Source organism: Homo sapiens, chromosome 9 (genome assembly GCF_000001405.40).
Source record: "Homo sapiens chromosome 9, GRCh38.p14 Primary Assembly".
Classification (NCBI taxonomy): domain Eukaryota; kingdom Metazoa; phylum Chordata; class Mammalia; order Primates; family Hominidae; genus Homo; species Homo sapiens.
The window spans coordinates 72,051,109-72,074,943 of record NC_000009.12 but is presented as its reverse complement, the minus strand read 5'-3'; the positions used below and the strand labels follow the sequence as shown (position 1 = coordinate 72,074,943).

General features: G+C 40.6%; 1 protein-coding gene and 1 long non-coding RNA gene across 10 annotated transcripts in view; one reads left to right on the top strand and one right to left on the bottom strand.

Annotated features, from left to right (window-relative positions):
• Positions 1–23,835, bottom strand: part of LOC101927108 (uncharacterized) — a 60,297-nt gene that overhangs the window by 15,409 nt on the left and 21,053 nt on the right. For 5 of the 8 annotated variants that reach the window (XR_002956888.2, XR_929919.3, XR_242613.4 and 2 more), the window contains exons 1-3: positions 14,136–14,623; positions 10,342–10,515; positions 9,659–9,719 (exon numbers count right to left, since the gene is read on the bottom strand). This is a non-coding gene — a long non-coding RNA (uncharacterized LOC101927108). Of the gene's footprint in view, positions 1–7,771; positions 7,907–9,658; positions 9,720–10,341; positions 10,516–14,135; positions 14,624–23,835 lie in introns of those variants that run through there. The other 3 variants (XR_001746719.1, XR_001746720.2, XR_929921.3) reach the window with 2 other exon arrangements.
• On the top strand, positions 14,331–23,568 carry C9orf57 (chromosome 9 open reading frame 57). 2 transcript variants are annotated; one of them, NM_001128618.2, is made up of 5 exons: positions 14,331–14,447; positions 15,560–15,709; positions 18,101–18,160; positions 18,748–18,870; positions 22,509–23,568. In NM_001128618.2, exons 2-5 carry the CDS (start codon positions 15,613–15,615, stop codon positions 22,646–22,648), a joined length of 420 nt encoding a protein of 139 aa, NP_001122090.2. In that variant the 5' UTR covers positions 14,331–14,447; positions 15,560–15,612; the 3' UTR covers positions 22,649–23,568. The 2 variants fall into 2 exon arrangements, with proteins under 2 accessions (NP_001122090.2, NP_001358539.1); NM_001371610.1 differs by lacking the exon at positions 15,560–15,709.

Genomic DNA, 23,835 nt, shown 5'->3' with positions numbered 1-23,835 from the left:
TCCCTTTACCATTATGTAATGTCCTTCTTTGTCTTTTTTTATCTTTGTTGGTTTAAAGTCTGTTTTATCAGAGACTAGGATTGCAACCCCTGCCTTTGTTTGCTTTCCAATTGCTTGGTAAATATTCCTCCATCCCTTTATTTTGAGCCTATGTGTGTCTTTGCACATGAGATGGTCTCCTGAATACAGCACACCGATGGGTCTTGACTGTTTATACAATTTGCAGTCTGTGTCTTTTAGTTGGCGCATTTAGCTCATTTACATTTAAGGTCAATATGGTTATGTGTGAATTTGATCCTGTCATATGATGCTAGCTGAGTATTTTGCCCATTAATTGATGCAATTTCTTCATAGTGTCAATGATCTTTACATTTTGGTATGTTTTTGCAGTGGCTGGTACTGGTTTTTCCTTTCCATATTTAGTGCTTCCTTCAGGAGCTCTTGTAAGGCAGGTCTGGTGGTGACAAAATCCCTCAGCATTTGCTTGTCTGTAAAGGATTTTATTTCTCCTTTGCTTATGAAGCTTAGTTTGGCTGGATATGAAATGCTGGGTTGAACATTATTTTCTTTAAGAATGTTGAATATTGGCCCCCACTCTCTTCTGGCTTGTAGGGTTTCTGCAGAGAGATCCACTGTTAGCCTGATGGGCTTCCCTTTGTGGGTAACCTGACCTTTCTCTCTGGCTGCCCTTAACATTTTTTCCATCATTTCAACCTTGGTGAATCTGACAATTATGTCTCTTGGGGCTGCTCTTTTCGAGGAGTATCTTTGTGGTATTCTCTGTATTTCCAGAATTTGAATGTTGGCCTGTCTTGCTAGGTTGGGGAAGTTCTCCTGGATGATATCCTGAAGAGTGTTTTCCAACTTAGTTCCATTCTCCCCATCACTTTCAGGTACACCAATCAAACATAGATTTGGTCTTTTCACATAGTCTCATATTTCTTGGAGTCTCTGTTCTTTCCTTTTCATTCTTTTTTCTCTAATCTTGTCTTCATGTTTTATATCATTAAGTTGATCTTCAATCTCTGTTATCCTTTCTTCCACTTTTGATTCTTCCACGATTGATTTGGCTATTGATACTGGTGTATGCTTTATAAAGTTCTCGTGCTCTGTTTTTCTGCTCCATCAGGTCATTTATGTTTTTCTCTAAACTGGCTATTCTAGTTAGCAGTTCCTGTAACCTTTTATCAAGCTCGTTAACTTCCTTGCATTGGGTGAGAACATGCTCCTTTAGCTCTGAGGAGTTTGTTATTACCCACCTTCTGAGGCCTACTTCTGTCAATTTCTCAAATTCATTTTCTGTCCAGTTTTGTTCCCTTGCTGGCGAGGAGTTGTGATCCTTTGGAGGAGAAGAGGCATTCTGGTTTTGGGAATTTTCAGCCATTTTGTGCTGGTTTTTCTTCATCTTCATGGATTTATCTACCTTTGGTCTTTGATGTTGGTAACTTTCCAATGGGGTTTTTGCGTGGGAGTCCTTTTTGTTGATGTTGATGCTATTGCTTTCTGTTTGATAGTTTTCCTTCTAACAGTCAGGCCCCTCTTCTGCAGGTCTGCTGGAGTTTGCTGGAGGTTCACTCCAGAACCTATTTGTCTGGGTATCACCAGTGGAGGCTGCAGAACAGCAAAGATTGCTCTGCCTGCTCCTTCCTTCGGAGGCTTCATCCCAGAGAGGCACCTGCCAGATGCCAGCTGGAGCTCTCCTGTAAGTGTCTGTTGACCCCTGCTGGGAGGTATCTCCCTGTCAAAAGGCACTGGGGTCGGGGACCCACTAGAGGAGGCAGTCTGTCCCTTAGCAGAGCTCAAGCGCTGTGCTGGGAGATCCACTGCTCTCTTCAGAGCTGGTAGGCAGGAACATTTAAGTCTGCTGAAGCTGTGCCCACAGCCGCCCCTTTCCCCAGGTGCTCTGTCCCAAGGAGATGGGGGTTTTATCTATAAGCCCCTGACTGGGGCTGCTGCCTTTCTTTCAGAGATGCCCTGCCCAGAGAGGAAGAATCTAGAGAGTCAGTCTGGCTATAGCCACTTGGCTGTGCTGCAGTGGGTTCCTCACCCAGTTCGAACTTCCTGGCAGCTTTGTTTACACTGTGAGGGAAAAACTGCCTACTCAAGCCTCAGTAATGGTGGATGTCCCTCCCCACACTAAGCTCGAGTGTCCCAGGTCGACTTCAGACTGCTGTGCTGGCAGCAAGAATTTCAACCCAGTGGATCTTAACCTGTTGGGCTCCATGGGGGTGGGATTCACTGAGCTAGAATACTTGGCTCCCTGGCTTCGGCCCCCCTTTTCAGGTAAGTGAATGGTTCTGTCTCACTGGTGTTCTGGATGCCACTGGGGTAGGAGAAACAACTCCTGCAGCTAGCTCAGTGTCTGTCCAAACAGCCGTCCACTTTTGTGCTTGAAACTCAGCGCCCTGGGTGTGTAGGCACCCGAGGGAATCTCCTGGTCTATGGGTTGTGAAGACCACGGGAAAAGCATAGCATCTGGGCTGGAGTGCACCATTCCTCATGGCACAGTCCCTCACGGCTTCCCTTGGCTAGGGGAGAGAGTTCCCTGACCCCTTGCACTTCCCGGGTGAGGCAATGCCCCACCCTGCTTCTGCTCGCCCTCCATGGGCTGCATTTACTGTGTAACCAGTCCCAGTGAGATGAACCAAGTACCTCAGTTGGAAATGCACAAATCACCTGCCTTCTGCATTGGTCTTGCTGGGAGCTGCAGACCAGAGTTGTTCCTATTCAGCCATCTAGCCAGCCCCCCTCCTATTATGTAATTTTTATGCCTTTTCATCCTCATAGCTTAGTTCTTACTTATAAGTGAAAGCATACAATATTTGGTTTTCCATTCCTGAGCTAACTTCACTTAGAATAATGGCCTCCAACTCCATCCAAGCTACTGCAAAGATCATTATTTTGTTTCATTTTATGGCTGAGTAGTATTCTACGGTGTATATATAACACATTTTCTTTATCAACTTGTTGGTTGATGGGCATTTAGGCTGGTTTCATATTTTTGCAATTGTGAATCGTTCAGCTATAAACATGTATGTGCAAGTGTCTTTTTCATATAATGACTTCTTTTCCTTTGGGTAGATACCCAGTTGTGGGATTGCTGGATCAAATGGTAGTTCTACTTTTAGTTCTTTAGGAATCTCCACACTGTTTTCCATAGTGGTTGTACGAGTTTACATTCCCACCAGCAGTGTAAAAGTGTTCCCTTTTCACCACATTCATGCCAATATTTATTATTTTTTGATTTTTTAATTATGGCCATTCTTGCAGGAGTGAGGTGGTATCTCACTGTGGTTTTAATTTGCATTTCTCTGATAATTAGTGATGTTGAGGGTTTTTTCACATGTGTTGGCTGTTTTTAATCTTCTGAGATATTGTCTATTCATGTCCTTTGCCCTCTTTTTGATGGGATTGCTCTTTTCTTGCTGACTTGTTTCAGTTTCTTATAGATTCTGGATATTAGTCCTTTGGCAGATGCATAACTTGCAAAGATTTTCTCCCACTCTGTGAGTTGTCTGTTTACTCTGCTGATTATTATCATTATTATTTTGCTGAGCAGAAGCTTTTTAGTTTAATTAGGTCCCATCTATTTATCTTTGTTTTTGTTGCACTTGCTTTTGGGTTCTTGGTCATAAATTCTTTGCCTAAGCCAATGTCTAGAAGAGTTTTTCCAATGTTATCTTCTAGAATGTTTATGGTTTCAGGTCTTAGATTTAAGTCTCAGATCATTTTGAGTTGTTTTTTTTGAGACAGAGTCTCGCTCTGTCACCCAGGCTGGAGTGCGGTGGTGTGATCTCGGCTCACTGAAAGCTCCGCCTCCTGGGTTCACGCCATTCTCCTGCCTCAGCCTCCTGAGTAGCTGGGACTACAAGCGCCCGCCACCACGTCCAGCTAATTTTTTGTATTTTTAGTAAAGACGGGGTTTCACCGTGTTAGCCAGGATGGTCTCAATCTCCTGACCTTCTGATCCACCCGCCTTGGCCTCCCAAAGTGCTGAGATTACAGGCATGAGCCACCATGCCCAGCCTTGAGTTGATTTTTGTATAAGGTGAGAGACGAGGGTCCCCTTTCATTCTTCTACATTTGGCTTGCCAATTATCCCAGCACCATTTATTGAATAGGGTGTCCTTTCCCCATTTTATGTTTTAGTGTGTTTTGTTGAAGACCAGTTGGCTGTAAGTATTTGACTTTATTTCTGGGTTCTCTATTCTGTTCCATTGGTCTACCTGCCCATTTGTATACCAGTACCATACTGTTTTGATAACTATAGGCTTGTAGTATAATTTGAAGTTGGGTAATGTGCTGCCTCCAGATTTGTTCTTTTATGTTAGTGTTGCTTTGGCTATGTGAGCACTTTTTTGGTTCCATGTGAATTTTAGGATTTTTTTTTTACTTCCATGAAGAATGATGATGGTACTTTGATAGAAATTGCATTGAATCTCTAGATTGCTTTTGGCAGTATGTTCATTTTTACAATATTGATTCTAACCATATATGAGCATGGGATGTGTTTCCATTTGTTTGTGTCATCTACGATTTCTTTCAGCAGTGTTTTGCAGTTTTCTTTGCAGAAATCTCTCACCTCCTTGGTTAGGTCTATTCCTAACTTTTTTTTTTTTTTTTTTTTTTGCAGCTGTTGTAAAGGGGATTGAGTTCTTGATTTGATTCTCAGCTTGGTCATTCTTGGTGTATAGCAGTGCTACTGATTTGTGTACATTGATTTTGTATCCTGAAACTTAATTCATTTATTAGATCTAGGAGCTTTTTGGATGAGTCTTTAGGGTTTTCTTTTTTCTTTCTTTCTTTTTTTTTTTTTTGAGACAGTCTCACTCTGTCATCAGGCTGGAGTGCAGTGCCATGATCTCGGCTCACTGCAACCTCCGCCTCCTGGGTTCAAGCAATTCTCTTGCCTTAGCCTCCCGAGTAGCTGGGAATACAGGCACGTGCCACCATGCCCAGCTAATTTTTGTATTTTTCGTAGAGACAGGGTTTCACCATGTTGGCCAGGATGGTCTCGATCTCTTGACCTCATGATCCGCCCACCTTGGCCTCCCAAAGTGCTGGGATTACAGGCGTGAGCCACCATGCCCAGCCATGCTGTCTTTTCATAGTCAATCCTTCCTCTCACCCTTAACCCCTGTCAACCACTCTCCAGGAAAAAGTTTTTGCCTTTTCAAGAGTGTCAGGTAAATGGTATCCAAGAATATGTAGCCTTTTTGGTATGGCTTCTGTCATTCAGTATAATGAAATTGAGATCCATTTATGTTGTTTGTGCATCAGTAGTTCATTACTTTTCATTGTTGAGTAGTATTCTATTGTATGGACAAAGCACAATTTGTTTATCCATTCATCAATTGAAGGGCATCTGGACTATTTCCAGTGTGAGGCAATTATGAATAAAGTTGCTGTAAACATTCACATACAGGTTTTTGAGTGAATGTACACTTTCATTTCTCCAGAGTAGATACATAGGCATGAGATTCCTAAGTTACATGGTAAGTATATGTCTATCTTTATTGGGTATCTCCCAAATTCTTTTCCAAAGAGGCTGTGCCATGTTGCATTCTCACCAGCAATAAATGAGATTTCCAAGTGTTTTGCATCCTCACCATTACCTGGTATTGTCAAGTTTCTTTTTAAGTTATTTAAGCCGTTCAATATAGGTATATATTGGTATCTAATTATAATTTCAATTTGCATTTTGCTAATGACTAATGATATTGAGCATTTTGTTATATGCTTATCTGACATCCATGTATCCTCTTTGGGGAAATGTCTGTTTAGACCCTTTGCTTATTTTTCTTTAATTGAGTTGTTTTCATATTATTGGAATTTTTTTATGTTTTCTGAATATAAGGCCTTTATCAGACACATGATTTACAAATACTTTTTTTCTTTTCTTTTAGGCGGTGTCTCGCTTTGTCTCCCAAGCTGGAGTGCAGTGGCGTGATCTCAGCTCACTGCAAGCTCCACTTCCCGGGTTCACGCCATTCTCCTGCCTCAGCCTCCCAAGTAGCTGGGACTACAGGTGCCCACCACCACGCCCAGCTAATTTTTTGTATTTTTAGTAGAGATGGGGTTTCACTGTGTTAGCCAGGATGGTCTCGATCTCCTGACTTTGTGATCCACCCACCTCGGCCTCCCAAAGTGCTGGGATTACAGGTGTGAGCCATCACGCCCAGCCACAAATATTTTTTTCTAGTCTATAGCTTGTCCTTTCATTCATGTCTTTTGGAGAACAAATATTTTTAGTTTGGATGAAGTTCAATTTATTAGTTTGTTTTTTGTTTTTTTTTTTTTTTACTTTTATGAATCATGCTTTTGGTGTCTAAGAACTCTGCTTTCACAAAAATTCTCCTATAAGCTCATTCCTATAATCCCAGAACTTTGAGAGGCTGAGGTGGGAGGATCACTTGAGCCCAGGGGTTTGAGACCAGCCTGGGCAACATGTGAGATCTTGTCTCTATAAAAAAAAAAAAAAATTAAAAATGAGCTGGGCACAATGGTATGCACCTGTGGTCCCAGCTACTCAGGAGGCTCAGGTGGGAGGATCGCTTGAGCCGGGAGGCCAAGGCTTCAGTGAGCCGTGACTGCACCATTGCACCAGCTTGTGTGACAAAGCAAGTCTCTGTCTCAAAAAAAAATTAAATTATCCTATGTTTTATTCTGGAAAATTTATAGTTTTATGTTTTATATTTAACTCTATGATGCATTTTTAATTAATTTTTGTATAAAGTGTAAGATAAGAGTTGAGGTGTATTTTTTAGGGAAAAGGCATGAACAGGTGATTGTTTCAGCATTATTTGTTGAACACATGCCTCTTCTTGACTTTTGCCAAAAATCTGTCACCCACATGAAATAGATAGGAAAGTCTATTTGCTTTCATTATGGTCAGAGAAACTCCTTTAAATGATTTCTATTCTTTAAAAACTTTAAGGTTTGTTATATGAACCATTATATGGTCTGTCTTAGTGAATACTCCATGAACACTTAAAAGAATTCCAAGTCTTCTCTATCCTTGCCAATTTTCTGCCTACTTGTTCTACTGATTACTAAGAGGCTGTATCTCTTGGTGTTATTTTTTACGTAGCTGCTGTGGGGGTTACAATATACATACCTTTCACAGTCTACTTAGAGCTGGTATTTTGCCACCTCAAATAAAATATAAAGGCCTTTCAACCACAATGGCCCCTTTTTCCTCCCCTATGTTATAGTTGTTTATACTGCATCGAATACCCCACCAAGCAATGTTATAATTTTTGCTTTCAACTATCACATGTATTTTATATTATTTATTTATTTATTTATTTTGAGACAGAGTCTGGCTCTGTCGCCCAGGCTGGAGTGCAGTGGCGCCATCTTGGCTCACTGCAAGCTCCGCCTCCTGAGTTTCACGCCATTCTCCTCCCTCAGCCTGGCGAGTAGCTGGGACTACAGGCGCCAGCCACCATGCCCAGCTAATTTTTGTATTTTTAGTAGAGATGGGGTTTCACCGTGTTAGCCAGGATGGTCTCCATCTCCTGACCTCGTGATCCACCCACCTCGGCCTCCCAAAGTGTTGGGATTACAGGCGTGAGCCACCACGCCCAGCCTATCACATGTATTTTAAAGAACTTAAGAAAAAAGTAGTCTATTTTGTTGTTCTTCTTGAAATTCCCAGGCTCTCAGGTGTCATTTCCCTGCTGTTTGAAGAACTTAGAACTACAGCATGTTTTTTAGACTCTAAATTTAGAGTAGGTCTGATGGTGACAAACTGTTACTTTTCCTTCACCTGAGAATGCAACTATGTTGCCTGCATTTATAAAAAATCTTTTCCTTTGCTGGATGTAGAATTCGGGCTTGGCCGTTCGTTTCTCTGTGTCCTTTAATTACGTTGCTTCACTGTCTTCTTACCTTTTATGGTTTTCTGGTAAGAAATCAATAGTCGTTTGAATCGTTGTTTTGAGGTTTTTTCTTCATATGCTTTTTCTTAATAATTGTACTAAGAGTTTGTTGATTTTATTACTATTTCTAAGAACCAAATTTTGCCTTGTTGATCTATTCATTTTTTCCTCCTTTCTATACATTTTAAACTGACTAGATATTTTTTCACACTCCTCAATTTTTCCCTTGATGGTTTAGAAGAGATACACCTTATTTCTTTTTTCCTTTTTTTTCTTACTTTTTTTTTTTTTTTTTTGAGACAGAGTCTCGCTCTGTCACCCAGGCTGGAGTGCAGTGGCGCCATCTCAGCTCACTGCAAGCTCTGCCTCCCGGGTTCACGCCATTCTCCTGCTTCAGCCTCCCGAGTAGCTGGGACTACAGGCACCCGCCTCCACGCCCGGCTAATTTTTTGTATTTTTAGTAGAGACGGGGTTTCACCGTGTTAGCCAGGATGGTCTCAATCTCCTGACCTCGTGATCCGCCCGCCTCGGCCTCCCAAAGTGCTGGGATTACAGGCGTGACCACCTCGCCTGGCCGATACACCTTATTTCTAACAACATCGTGAAAAATGAGGACATTTGGTTGTTTCTTTTTCCCCAGATCTACAATTGACTCATTGTGTCATATCAAGGAAATCTTGTAATCTCTCTAAGCCTGAATTCCTCAAATGGGAATAAAAACAGTTTCTATCTCTAATATCAGAAGGCTTTGTAAAGGTAATTATGAAGCCAAACATGCTTTTAAAGTGTAAAGTGAGAGACAATTGCAAGCTATCATCATCATTATAGTGACTATAGTTATTAGTGGGACACCATTTGGACCAGGACTTGTTTTTAAGGATATTAAAAAGCATTAAAGGAGGCTGGGTGCAGTGGCTCACACGTGTACTCCCAGCACTTTGGGAGACTGAGACGGGCGGATCACTTGAGGTCAGGAGTTCAAGAGCAGCTTGGCCAACATGGCAAAACCCTGTCTCTACTAAATATACAAAAATTAGCCGGGGGTGGTTGTGCACTCCTGTAATCCCAGCTATTCAGGAGGCTGAGGCACAAGAATCGCTTGAACGTGGGAGGCAGAGGTTGCAGTGAGCCCAGAGTGTGTCACTGCACTCCAGCCTGGGCCACAGAGCAAGACTCCATCTCAAAAAAAAAAAAAAAAAAAAGGTGGGGGGTGGGGGGTTAAAGGGAAAAAAATAGCCAGCTGGTCAAGTAAATTCAGGAAAGACCAGGTTTAAACAAAGTTTCTTTATGTCAGTAATTCTTAGGACTTTTTAATATTCCAAAGCACATTTAAGTTTTTCATTACAGAATAACATATATAGCTTGTTTCCAAACTTACCTGTCAGTGCAACATTTTTTTATTCAAAACATCTCGAAGGATTAGGAATGAGAAATGATAAATTGGGGACTTCTATCTAAGCTAGACAAATTAAAGTCATAAGACATGGTAGATTTTTACACCAAAACTTTAAAAGAAAAGAATTTGCCAGGTCTAGATGCAAGCCAGTTGCTGGCAATGTTTTCCAGCTTTAAAGCAATATAATTCATTATCAGTCAACAGAGACTAGGATGACAGTGACTCCACAGGTAAGTTGCTCCTCTTGCAATAAATATTACAGTGCTTTTGAAGTCTGCTTTGACCCTCACCAGCATAAAATTCAAATTATGTTCTTCATGTTTTTTACCATCACAGTATCTACCAGAATACAAGGGCAAGCATCCAAAATGTGACTCACTGGTGGTGTTCCGCAATGTGTGCGTCTGTGTGTCCACCGCGACAGGCATCAGTACATGTATCTGCGAATACACTTTGACTTGTGAATGAGAAATTAAAGTTCGTAGACTGAAAATGACATTTCTTGCTACGAAGGAGTTCTTATCTACACTGTGATTTTAGAATATCTCATTCTGCTCACTAAAAACTGGTGGAATAAAACAGAAAGAGCTGCCTTCTTTGTGAGTTAGTGGAACGACAGAATACTATATTCCAGTACCTTCATTATAGAAATGAGTACACTGAAGCCCAGGATGATGGAGTAAGTTAAGATCACCAGGGTTCCTTGTGTTAACACAAAGGTGACTACCCAGGAAGGCAGACAACTGGGTTCTGATTTGCCCGGAGAGACTCTCCCAAGTTGCCCCAGCCTGTCCAACTTTAAATTCGACTCTGAACTCCTTGCTGACTTGGATTCTAGGATTTCACTGGGAAGGTTACATCCCAGACACCAGCTAATTCTTTCTTCCTACCGCCAAAAGAGAAGCGTCTTAACAGGCAGCAAAACCATTCAGCAATCTTTAGAAAAAACTGATGCCAGCTCATCCCTTCAGGTCTTAAACACCACTTGGAACCAAAGCCCGCACCAGCCCAAGGGCAGTTCATCCAACCTCACATTCATCTTTGTCACCCAATGTCACTTACCCTTCTCACAGATTCTCATCTCCATATTACCCAGGAATTCCTTCACCTTGTCTTCTTTCCATCAGACATCCCATTCATTTGGAAAACATTTACCAAGCCCCTATTCTGTGCCAAGCCCCCGGTTGGAAGCTGGAGATACCAAGATAGCATCTCTTCACTCAGGGAACTAACGGTCTGGTGAGAGAGAATATAAAGAGATCATTCCTTTAAAGGGTGTTAAGTGGAGTACTAGAGGTAGAGAAGATTAAGACTAAGCTTTTCCCTCAAACACAGACCAATAGAGTTAAGATGCTGAACACTGAGCCCTCAGTATTCCTCTCACCTGTTTCCTCCTTGCCATCCCTTCATGCATCACCTACCTTTTTCCCTGCATCCTTTTTCATCTTTGCCAAACTAAAATTCACTCTTCTGGCAGAATTATTTTCTTTAAAAAAAAAATGAAATCGGCTGGGCGCGGCAGTTCATGCCTGTAATCCCAGCACTTTAGGAGGCCGAGGTGGGTAGATCACTTGAGGTCAGGAGTTCGAGATCAGCCTAGTGAAACCCTGTCTCTACTAAAAATACAAAATTAGCCAGGCATGGTAGCGCATGCCTGTAATCCCAGCTACTTGGCAGGCTGAGGCAGGAGAATCGCCTGAACCCATGAGGCAGAGGTTGCAGTGAGCTGAGATCGCGCCACTGCACTCCAGCCTGGGCAACAAGAGCGAAACTCCATCTCAAAACAAAAAAAGGAAGAAAGAAAGAAGAAAAAAAGAAAAGAAAAGAAATCAGCCTGTCTGGAACATAGCAGACAGAGAATAAATATTTTTTGAATAAATAATGTCACTCCTGTGCTTAACACCAATCAGTAAATTCCTAACTCATACAGAGGTGCTTGCAATATTTTTCCACTGATTTATCACTAATGAGGAGGGAAATGAAAACAAATATACCCCTGAAGGTATTATTCTGTAAAATGTCCAAATCTAAGATGTGCAGCTCAGTAACACTTTATATTTGCAAAAACACATGTGCTCACCTCCCCCATCAAATATAAGACATTTTCATCAGCCTAGAAGGCTTTGTTATGCCCCTTCTCATGTCAGTCCTCCTGCTCAGAGATAACCACTACTCCATCTTTAATCACTACACATAAGTGTCACCTATCTTGAACTTCATACATTCAATGGAATCATACAGTAAATACTCCTATTGACTTGAGTATTACTGTTTTGTATCCAGGTAGCTTTGCTAGAGCATCTCAGATGAAATGCCCACCTATAACTCCAAGATACCAGTGGCCACTTTCAGGGCTCCATATTCCATATTGATTTCTTTGTTTTTACCAAAACCTATTTCCTACAGGTATCAATTAGGAGGTGTCAGAAAAACAATCTTCACTGAAGGAAAGGAAAAACAGATAATATATATCATGAAAAATATCATCATTATACCTACGAATTTATATTTGTATGAACATTATGTTTGTTGATCGACTAATCAGATAATGTCACTTTCATTCAAGAAAATAAATTTTTAATAGTGGCACATTAGAGCCAAAGAAAAACTTGTAATGAAGACATTTAAACAAGAGGAAAATCTCAAGAAGGAATGGAAGCAAAAGTAGCATTAACTGAGGGGTTATTATGGTCTAGTCATGAATTTGAAGATGAACATGCCACACTGTAGCTCTAAATTGGTATTATCTTTCTAGAAAACTATTTTCCAATGTGTATCAAAAGGCTTATATAAAAGGGTTTTGTTTTGTTTTGTTTTGAGACGGAGTTTCACTCTCATTGCCCAGGCTGGAGTGCAATGGCGTGATCTTAGCTCATCGCAACCCCCACCTCCTGGGTTCAAGCAATTCTCCTGCCTCAGCTTCCTGAGTAGCTGGGATTACAGGCATGCACCACCACGCCCAGCTAATTTTTTATTTTTAGTAGAGATGGGGTTTCTCCATGTTGGTCAGGCTGGTCTTGAACTCCAACCTCAGGTGACCCGCCCGCCTCAGCCTCCCAAAGTGCTGGGATTACAGGCGTGAGCCACTGCGCCCGGCCAACTTATATAAAAGGTTTATGTTTTTGTTCTGATAATTTCGTTTCTATGAACTTACCCTAAAGAAAATTTTAAACACAAATAAAATTATAATGAAAGATCCCCAAACACGAGGGGATTATTAAATAAATTATAGTAACTCTATATGGTTGAATATTACAGGAGCTTTAAAAATGTATTCTTGGCCGGGCGCGGTGGCAGTAGAATCGCTTTAACCTGGGAGGCAGAGATTGCGGTGAGCCGAGATCGCACCATTGCACTCCAGCCTGGGCAACAAGAGCAAAACTCGTCTCAAAAAAGAAAAGAAAGAAATATTTAATGACAAAATAAGTACTCAAAATATGAAGTTAAGTTTTAAAAAGAACAGGCTACAAAGTTATAGCTATGGGGTGATACAAATTATGTATGTATGTATATTTGAGTATAGGTACTAACATATGTATTAATACACACACACACACACACACACTCATTTACATTTCCCCACCATTTGACTAAAAGTGCATACTTGAGAACACCCTTTGTCAATAATAATACATCTATTTCTTCATCTCTGCAACTTGCTAGGCAAAAGATCATGTTAATCTAGACTTTTAGCTATTAATAAATATTATTTTGCAAATCTTTGATTCAATATTAATGAGGATATGGGGGAAAGTATTCATCCTCTGTTGGTGGGTAGAAACATTTCTATTTTTTTTTTTTTTTTTTTTTTGAGACGGGGTTTCGCTCTTGTTGTCCGGGCTGGAGGGCAGTGGCGCAATCTCGGCTCACTGCAACCTCTGCCTTCCGGTTTCAAGCGATTCTCCTGCCTCAGCCTCCTGAGTAGCGGGAATTACAGGCGCCTGCCACCACGCCTGGCTAATTTTTTTGTATTTTTAGTAGAAAGGGGGTTTCACCATGCTGGCCAGGCTGGTCTCGAACTCTTGAGCTCGTGATCTGCCTGCCTCAGCCTCCCAAAGTGCTGGGATTACAGGCGTGAGCCACCGTGCCTGGCCAGTGGATGGCAAAATTTCTATAGCTACTTTCAGGGGCAATTTGATAGGCCTTGGGAAAAGCAATCCCAATTTTCGGGATCTGTCTTAGAGAAACAATTTGCATATGTGCCCAAGTCCATATACACACATTACAGCATTGTTTGTTATTTTAAAAAAAAGAAGGTATGTGCTCATCAACCAGGAAATGGATAAATATGATGTATCCATACCAGAAAATATTATATAGCAATGAAAAATAATGAAAGTTTTTTCAAACTTTCATAAGAAGACTGACATAAGAAGATTTTTAACATATTTTTGAATGAAATATAAGGGGGAAAATAATATGTAGAGTATTATATTATTTTGTAAAAGTAAAAGAGAAAGTATTATTATACACAATCCTATGTTATAAGTGTTATGATGAAAATGCACAGAAGAAAAAGTACCCTTGAATAAACTTTAGGAAATGATTAAAAAAAAAAAAGATACCCAACATATTGATAATGTGGTTACATTTGGAGGAGACACTCACTGGGTTTGATGGGAACATAGTCAAAGGGGATTTTAACATTCTTAATACTTTCATTTTTTCAAAAATAATGTATATTAATTTGGTACTATATATTAATTTGGAAATAAACTTTTTTAAAATTCAAATTGCTTTCTGAATGCACTAAGTGCTGCTTTAAAGACTATATGGAATTTTTTTAAAAATTAAGACCAAGTACTTTACATAATAAATAGATAGTATGCCCACAAGGCAATCTATTTCTGAATTACCTAATCTTTGCATAGTGAACATAGCAATCTTCAGCCAAATTTAGTTAGTTTAACTACTGACCAACTTAGCCTTATTATATTAATTTCATGAGTAAGGAAATTAAGTTCCAAACAGATCAGAGTGTTCAAGTGAAAAAATATTCACATTTACTCGGTCAGTTTTTACTGTTTAAACTGTTTGGAATCTAGTGGATCAGAGTGTCGCTTTCAGTTGTAACGGACTTCATCACATCACAAATTGTACTCGTTCTCATCCTTTTAAGAAAGTTCAGACCCAGGAAAATTTCCATAGTACCTTAATGAAAAAGATAGGTAGGTCATGAACAACTGAAATATTATACTTTACCCAATCTTACAATTTCTTCCCTTCATTTTAATAAGTATTAACTATCGTTAACTATCACATAATGCTTTTCCCTCATAAATAAGGTCTTTTGCAGTGAAAGTATTATTAATAATTCATAGGCCGGGCGTGGTGGCTCACGCCTGTAATCCCAGCACTTTGGGAGACCAAGGTGGGTGGATCATGAGGTCCAGAGATCAAGACCATCCTGGCCAACATGGTGAAACCCCGTCTTTACTAAAAATACAAAAATTAGCCGGGTGTTGCAGCATGCGCCTGTAATCCCAGCTACTCGGGAGGCTGAGGCAGGAAAATCGCTTGAACCGGGGAGGCCGAAGTTGCAGTGAGCTGAGATCACGCCATTGCACTCCAGTCTGGCAACAGAGTTAGACTCCATCTCAAAAATAATAATAATAATAATAATTCATAAAGGAGCATGAATGAATATGTGTATTTTCCTTTTGGCCAATAGTTAAAAGGATTTCTAACAGGATATTATTCTAGAAATATCATCTATTTCACTTCATAGTTCTGTATGAAACCATTATAATTCTGAGGAAAAACTGAAGAGAGAAGGTGATATTTGGTAATAAAATAACTTAAAATGTTCTGGAACTAGAAGTTTTATGGGTTTATTTATTTATTTATTTACAGTCTCGCTCTGTCCCCCAGGCTAGAGTGCAGTGGCCTGATCTCAGCTCACTGCAACCTTTGCATCCTGGGTTCAAGCGATTCTTGTGCCTCAGCCTCCCAAGTAGCTGGGATTGCAGGCACCCACAACCACACCTGGCTAATTTTTGTATTTTTAGTAGAGACGGGGTTTCACCATGTTGGGCAGTCTGGTCTTGAACTCCTGACCTCAGGCGATCTGCCCACCTTGGCCTCCCAAAGCGTTGGGAATACAGGCGTGAGCCACTGCGTCCAGCCATATGGTGACTTTTTTATAAAGACAGGTACCTTATTTTTCCTCCTTCACAAAATAAACTTATTTATATTGTCTTAATGAAATCAATAAAACTTAACCAGTCCTTTCCGTTTTTAAAATAGCTAACATAAATGTGTAACTTTATTGCTTCCCCAGAAATCAGTGGGACGTGTCTTTCCTTTCATCTCCTTTTCGGCTTGGAAATCAGAATGAGAAGGATTGTTTTTGCTGGTGTTATCTTATTCCGCCTCTTAGGTGTTATCTTATTCCGCCTCTTAGGTGTTATCTTATTCGGCCGCTTAGGTGGTAAGTCATTAGGAAAGCATAAGTTAAAAGGATAGAAAATTATTAAGAAATTGTAGGGCCGAGCGTGGCGGCTCACGCCTGTAATCCCAGCACTTTGGGAGGCTGAGGCGGGTGGATCAGGTCTGAGGTCGGGAGTTCAAGACCAGCCTGACCAACATGGAGAAACCCTGTCTCTACCAAAAACACAAAATTAGCTGGGCGTGGTGGTGCATGCCTGTAAACCTAGCTACTCGGGAGGCTGAGGCAGGAGAATTGCTTGAACCCAGGAGGCAGAGGTTGCGATGAGCCAAGATCATGCCATTGCACTCCAGCCTGGGCAACAAGAGTGAAACTCTGTTTCAAAAAAAAAAAATTGTTGATTGATCATTGATTATGAATGGAAAGTCTGTCACGCTTAGTGGCAGAACCAATGTGAAATTTCCCAAGTGTCTTTAGATGAGGTTGAGCCTGGGGAAAATCATCAACAAAGGTTAATTAGCCTCATCAGCCACACTGTTTTCTATTAAAAATGTTCTCTTCTATCTCCCAATATGGCAGAGGGAGATATAAAACACATTGCAGAAAACATCTGGTAAACCCTTCTTTGGGGCCATCAATGAATAGGAGTGACATGGCAGTGGTCATCATATAGTGGAAGATGGAAACTGTGAGCACTCAGAGAAATTCTGGCTCAGTTTCAAAAGAATCTTTTAACAATCTGAGCTGTTTTTAATGGTGATCAGTTCTCTATCACTGGCCAAAGCTCCCTGCAGAAGCTATAAGAAAGATCCCTAAGGCTGGCCGCGGTGGCTCACGCCTGTAATCCTAGCACTTTGGGAGGCTGAGGCAGGTAGATTGCCTGAGCTCAGGAGTTCAAGACCAGCCTGGGCAACACGGTGAAACCCCATCTCTACTAAAATACAAAAAATTAGCTGGGCTTGGAGGTGGGTGCCTGTAGTCCCAGCTACTCGGGAAGCTGAGGCTGGAGAATTGCTTCAACCTGAGAGGCAGAGGTTGCAGTGAGATGAGATTGCACCACTGCACTCCAACCTGGACAAAAGAGCAAGGCTCTGTCTCTAAAAAAAAAGAAAGATCCCTGAATTGGAAGCATCAACGATTCACAAACATTGGTCTAGACATTGATTGCTAAATCATATCCCCTCAGCTATTTCTGCAGATCTAAAATACAAATTCTCAAGCCCCACCTTCCATAGATTCTAACTCAGGTTTTTGGGGGCCCTGGGAATCTGTGAGTTTATTTAATCTGCTTAAAGAAATCTGATGCACAGTAGAATTTGGAAAACAATCTTCTAGATAATGTCTTCCAATCTTACCAGTATTGACCAGTTCAAGAATCTCTGGGCTATTTCTATATAAACAAAATGAATAATATTTTCAAGCCACTGAATTTGAGTATGGAAGATAACCAATATGTAAACATTAATGAAGCAATAAATATTCATGAAGAATCGACTATATATAATATGCTACCTTAGGCACTGAAATTAAGCCCTAACAGTGAATATGTGGCTGAAATTAAATTTTCTGGTAAAATAAATTTGGGGTGATTTAATTAAGCACTGAGGAACTGAATGAATTTTAACCAACTAAGTTGTTTAGACCACCTGGGCTCCTGACTGATTACCACAGTTCAAGGTGCTTCCAATTCATAAATACAGCATACGCTTCGAAATTTCCCTCATTAAACTCTCAAAATAAAAAATAATTTTAGCCTGGTGCGATGGCTCACACCTGTAATCCCAGCACTCTGGGAGGCCGAGGTGGGTAGATCACCTGAGTTAGGAGTTTGAGACCAGCCTGGCCAATATGGTGAAACCCCATCTCTACTAAAAATACAAAATATTAGCCGGGCCTGGTGGTGTGCACCTGTAATCCCAGCTACTCAGGAGGTTGAGGCAGGAGAATCGCTTGAACCCGGGAGGTGGAGGTTGCAGTGAGCCGAGATCATGCCATTGCTCTCCAGCCTGGGCAACGAGTGAAATTCCATCTCAAAAAAAAATAATAATTTACGTTAGGTTTTAGAATTTTTAAAATATTGCTTACTTCCTGGGCACAATGGCCCACACCTTTAATCCCAGCACTTTGGGAGGCCAAAGCAGAGAGACCAGCCTGGGCAACATAGCGAAACCCCATCCTCCCCACTAAACATACAAAAAGCTGGACACGGTGGGTGTGTGCCTGTAGTCCCAGCTACTTGGGAGGCCGAAGTGGGAGGATCACTCACTTGAGCCTGGGAAGCGGAGGTTGCAGTGAGCCGAGATTGTGCCACTGCACTCCAGCCTGGGTAACAGGAGTGCAACCCTGTCTCAAAAAAAAAAAAAAGTATACATATATATGTATACATTTGCAGAGCATGCAATCTTTCAATCCCCTTCCATGGATGTCTTTTAGACCTGGGAACCTGCCAGACAAAACCTGGTCAGTACTGGAAAGAAGAGGTCCACATTCAAGGTAAGTTTTGACACTTTAAAAATTTTAATTAAAATAAGCACAGGGAAAATGCTTATCACAACAAACTTTCATATGCCAGATGCTACACTAAGGGCTTTGCCAGGGCTACATTACACCAACAAAACAATGAAAAGAGCTGGATGGACCCTGTCACTATCCCCATTTTAAAGATGAGATAGCTGAGACACGAACGATTAAGTAATTTGCACAGTCACATAGCTAATGAGTCTTATAGACAAGATTCAAATGTGAGTACTTTGACTCCAGAGCACACATTCCTAATAATCTATATACTTTCTCATTCACACCACTCACGTACTCACAAAAAAGTAATACACAATTTTCAGAGCCCTTCTAAACTTGGGCCCTGTGCACCAGTTGCATGCCTGTGAAACTGGCCTTCTCCAAAACATAAAAAAAAATAAAATATATATATTTAATATATATAACATAAAATATATATATAACATAAATATATATATATAAAGTCAAAAATCACTACTTTATTTTTTTGATCTCTCTTCCTTCCTCGTTTTCTCTCTCGTATCTATCACTACTTTCTCATTTTTCTGCCCCTGTACTTGGAGATGTTGGAGGTTTGATTTGCAGAGCATGCAATCTTTCACTGCCCTTCCATGGATGTCTTTTAGACCTGGGAACCTGCCAGGCAGAACCTGGTCAGTACTGTAAAGAAGAGGTCCACATTCAAGGTAAGTTTTGACACTTTAAAAATTTTAATTAAAATAAGCACAGGGAAAATGCTTATCACAACAAACTTTCATATACCAGATGCTACACTAAGGGCTTTGCCAGGGCTACATTACACCAACAAAACAATGAAAAGAGCTGGATGGATCCTGTCACTATCCCCATTTTAAAGATGAGATAGCTGAGACACGAACGATTAAGTAATTTGCACAGTCACATAGCTAATGAGTCTTATAGACAAGATTCAAATGTGAGTACTTTGACTCCAGAGCACACATTCCTAATAATCTATATATTGTCTCATTCACACCACTCACGTACTCACAAAAAAGTAATACACAATTTTCAGAGCCCTTCTAAACTTGGGCCCTGTGCACCAGTTGCATGCCTGTGAAACTGGCCTTCTCCAAAACATAAAAATCCAAATAATGAAACATTGGAAGAAAATACTGGGAAACATTTTAAGTTTGAAAGAATGGAGGTTAGCTAGGCATGGTAGCACACACCTGTAGCAGTCCCAGCTACCGGGGAGGCCAGGTGGGAGGATCACCCGAGCCCAGGAGGTTGAGGCCACAGTGAGCTGTGATCACACCACTACACTCTAGCCTGAACAATGGAGTGAGATCATGTCTCGAAAAGGAAGGAAGGAAGGAAGGAAGGAAGGAAGGAAGGAAGGAAGGAAGGAAGGAAGGAAGGAAGGAGGGAGGGAGGGAGGGAGGGAAAGAATGAAGGAAGGAAGGAAGGAAAGAGAAAGAGAGAAAGAGGATGGAAGGAAGGAAGGCAGGAAGGCAGGAAGGAAGGCAGGAAACAATGGAGGCTCTTTTAGCATCCAAAATCCAGACCGGGCACAGTGACTCATGCCTATAATCCTAGCACTTTAGAAGGCAGAGGTGCGTGGATTGCTTGAACTCAAGAGTTCAAGACCAACCTGGGCAACATGGTGAAGCCCTGTCTCTACAAAAAAAAATATATATATATAAAAATTAGTCGCGCATGGTGGCTTGCACCACCATGTTCCCAGTTACTCAGCATGGAGGCTGAGGCAGGAAACTTGCTTGAGCCCAGGAGGCGGAGGCTGCAGGGAGCCGAGATTGAACCACTGCACTGCAGCCTCGGTGACAAGAGTAAGACATTGTCTCAAAAAAAAAAAAAAAAAAAAAATCCCAAACCCCAAAGTTGTAAAGGAAATAATGAATACATTTGAATATATGAAGAGTTTAACATTTATAAAATGTGTGATAATTCCAAAATGTAAAAGATAAGGAATTAACTGGGTGAAAATATAAGAAACATGGATAACATTAATATTTATCCAGAATAAAAAACTTCAAAAACAATTTTAAAAAGACCAACAATCAAGAGTAAATACCTTATTAAAGGAAGTAGGAAGGCAATTCCCACAAGGATCAATATAAGTAACCTACAAATATAAAAGCCTACTCAACCTTGTTAGTAAAAATCAAGGAAATGCAAATTATGAAAACAATATAATATTTTTAACCCATCAGATTGGTAAAAAACATAAAAGTTTTATTATATCAGGAGTTAGTATGGGGAAATGGGAACGCTCAGACATTTTCAATGACAGCTTAGATTGGTTCAGCATCTTTTTAGACAATTTGTGAATTTCCATTAAAATTTTAAATAAACACAGCCTTCGACAAAGCAATTCTATTTCTTGGTATCTACTGCAGAAAAATATTTATATTTAACACATGTATCAAGGTTATCATTGCAGCATTACGTTTAATAGTAAAGTAATATAAATGACCTAAATAGGCTAGGCGCGGTGGCTCACGCCTATAATCCCAGCACTTTGGGAAACCAAGGCAGGCAGATCACCTGAAGTGGGGAGTTCGAGACCAGTCTGACCAACATGGAGAACTCCCATCTCTACTAAAAATACAAAATTAGCCGGGTGTGGTGGCGCATGCCTGTAATCCCAGCTACCTGGGGAGCTGAGGCAGGAGAATCGCTTGAACCCGGGAGGTGGAGGTTGCGGTGAGCCAAGATCATGCCATTGCACTCCAGCATGGGCAACAAGAGCGAAACACCATCTCAAAAAAATACAAAAAGAAATGACCTAAACGTTCATCTATAGGGAACTATTCATTCAACTGTGTTACATGCAGGTCATGGAGTGCTATGCAACACTCAAAATGAACCAGATCCCCTTGTTAACATGGAGGAATCTCTAAACATATTGAGTGGGAAAAAATTCAGTTGCCAACAAGTACGTTCAGTATACCACTGATGAATAACAATCCACAAAACAAAACTCTAAATTTTTCTGTGGAATTGGAAGGGAAGAACAAAAATTAGAGGAGATCAAAATTAGTTTGGAGAGAGGATGAGAATCATGGGGTCACGTCGCAAGGCGTTTTGGTATTAAGAGGGTTACTTGGGTTCTGTTCAATCTTTCTAGTTTAGGTCCCCTCTCCAAGGTCAGTTCTCCCCTCTGCTAGTCACAGCCCCTTCTTTATGGAATGGGAAACATATCCAGACTCCCTGGGCCCATGAGATGTTGGCTCTTCTCTTCCTGAATGTGGCCAGAGAGTCATCTAGCCAGACGGACTCCAGAATTAGGATTAAAATACTCTATGTATAAGAAAGAGCCTGGAAGCTTATTCAACAAAATATTAACAATAGTTCTTGATGGGTCGAAGGCCTGGAATGACTACAGTGTTCGGAAGAGCAGTTTCCTAATTTGGGAAATTTGCCATTTACACTAATGCAAGACAAACAACTGATCCTCATGCTTTTGATAGTTTTATCAATAGGGTTTCTCAACTTTTGCACTATTGACATTTTGGGCAGGTGAATTCTTTGTAATGGAGGGCAGTCTTTTGTATTGTAGGATGTACAGCAGCATCATAGCTTTTACCCACTAGATGCCAAGAGCACCTCCAACCCCACCCTGCCGCCCCAACCAGTTCTGACAATAACAATGTCTCTGGGTATTACCCGATGTGCTGGGAAAGGGAGAGCAAAATCATCCCCAGCTGAAAACCCACCATTTTGTCCAAGTTTCCAGTCATCACATTTTGCTGTCTTTGGGGAATAGCTCCTTTTGTCCTCCTACCTACAACTGAAACTGGGGTGGTAGAATTACAGGATGTTACTGTCACTTATTTTGTTCTTGTGTGCATTTTTTGTGTTTTCTACAGTGATCATGCATTACTTCTTTAATCAGGGAAGGAATTAAGTGAGGTCATACATACACCTCCATTTCTGAGAGGCCCTTAACACATCTAAAGGATCCTTCTGTACATTCAGCCCTTTGAATAACTCACAACCTGGATAAAACTGGGGGATGATTATCAGGAAGCTTCAAAACAGCTTGCACTTCAGAAATTCTACATAGTCAATGGCAATTGCATGGCTTTTACAATCTGAGTTTGAAAGCTTTTTTGTTTTACAGTTTCAAATCTTGTGTATGCAATGTACCCAACTACAATAGTCTAAGTGGGAGTTCTTAAAGGTAAAATAATGAAATGAACCATTCTTAATGGTGGAAATGCTAGATTCGTACCTTGATAAAACTAAAGTTTTGCTTAGTATTCTTTTTAACCTATTAGCATCTGAGGCCACATAGGTTGTACCTCCCAAGAAATTTCCTTACCTCTTTTCTCTCCGTCAGGTGGCATTCAATGGTATTCAGTCAAAGGCTGCACAAAGAACACATCAGAGTGCTTCAAGAGTACTCTCGTCAAGAGAATTCTGCAACTGCATGAACTTGTAACTACTCACTGCTGCAATCATTCTTTGTGCAATTTCTGAGTCAGTGGCCCATATCTAAAATGCTTGGCAGATCAATCAGTCTCGAAGCCTGACCTGGCTATCACAAAATGATGGCTATTGTCAATTAGCCCACTTCAGAAACCTCAGACCCTTGTAGGTAGAAGGAATTTTGATCTGAAATTGACTTTGGTTTTCAATATTCCCAATATCTCCCCCACCACCTCCAACTCATCTGAGAAATAGCCCTTTCAACACCATTTCTCTCCTCTCCTCCTTCTGCTTAATTTACCTTCCTACCACAAGGCTACAAAGAAGGAAAAATGTTAGTGATTCTCCAAGTCAAACTAGGCATGTCACCTCTAACTACTTTCATTTCCCTCAATAATTCCATACTCCAAAATATGGTTACAAATGTTTCACAAGACAGCAAGTGACCTGAGAATATTCATTTGGTTTCCAAAGCAAACTGCCTTGCTCCTTTGGGGTGATTTATGGTATAGAAGAAACTGACTTAACATATACTATAGGGAAAAAATAAGCCATGAATCAGCAAGCCAGGCCTGCGGGAAAAGTATGAACCCAAACAGGAAAGGGCTGAGGCAGGTGGTAGGGCTGGCACTTATTTCTTCCATCTGCCTCAGAGTTTATCCAAATTTTGAATTTTCCGTACCTTAACCATGCCTAAATGCTTTGGCTTGTTCAATTTTGGCAGATTAAGCAGTTCAAGGTAAGCAGAGAAGTAAGTTCCCAACCACAAGGAATTTAAAAGGAGTAGGAACGTACTTTGAACTACATTTCCCATTTTGCGATCATTACGTCTTCTATTACAATGCCCTACTTTGGCAGCATGAAGAGTACTGCATTAATTTAATTTAATTTAAAATTTAATTTAAAACTGTCTTTCTCTGTATTTTCAGGAGTTTGAAAATTCAAAAAATAAATAATAAATGTCAATAAAATCTTGTCTGTCTTTTTCTCGGGACTTAGGACCACATTCACATAGTGAGCCCTCGACAAATGCTTCTCTATCAACTTTGAAGAAAAACAAGCATTTTTTTTTAAAGTCCAGGAAAGCTAGATTTTTTTCCCTTCAGACACGTTTCAACGATATTCCTTAGACCATATCTCTGAAACTAAGAAAAAAAGTCTCCATCCTGAGACTGAAATCTAGCTCCCCTTATTCTGTCATATTTTGCCATAGCCACATTGATGAAGAATGGTTACCT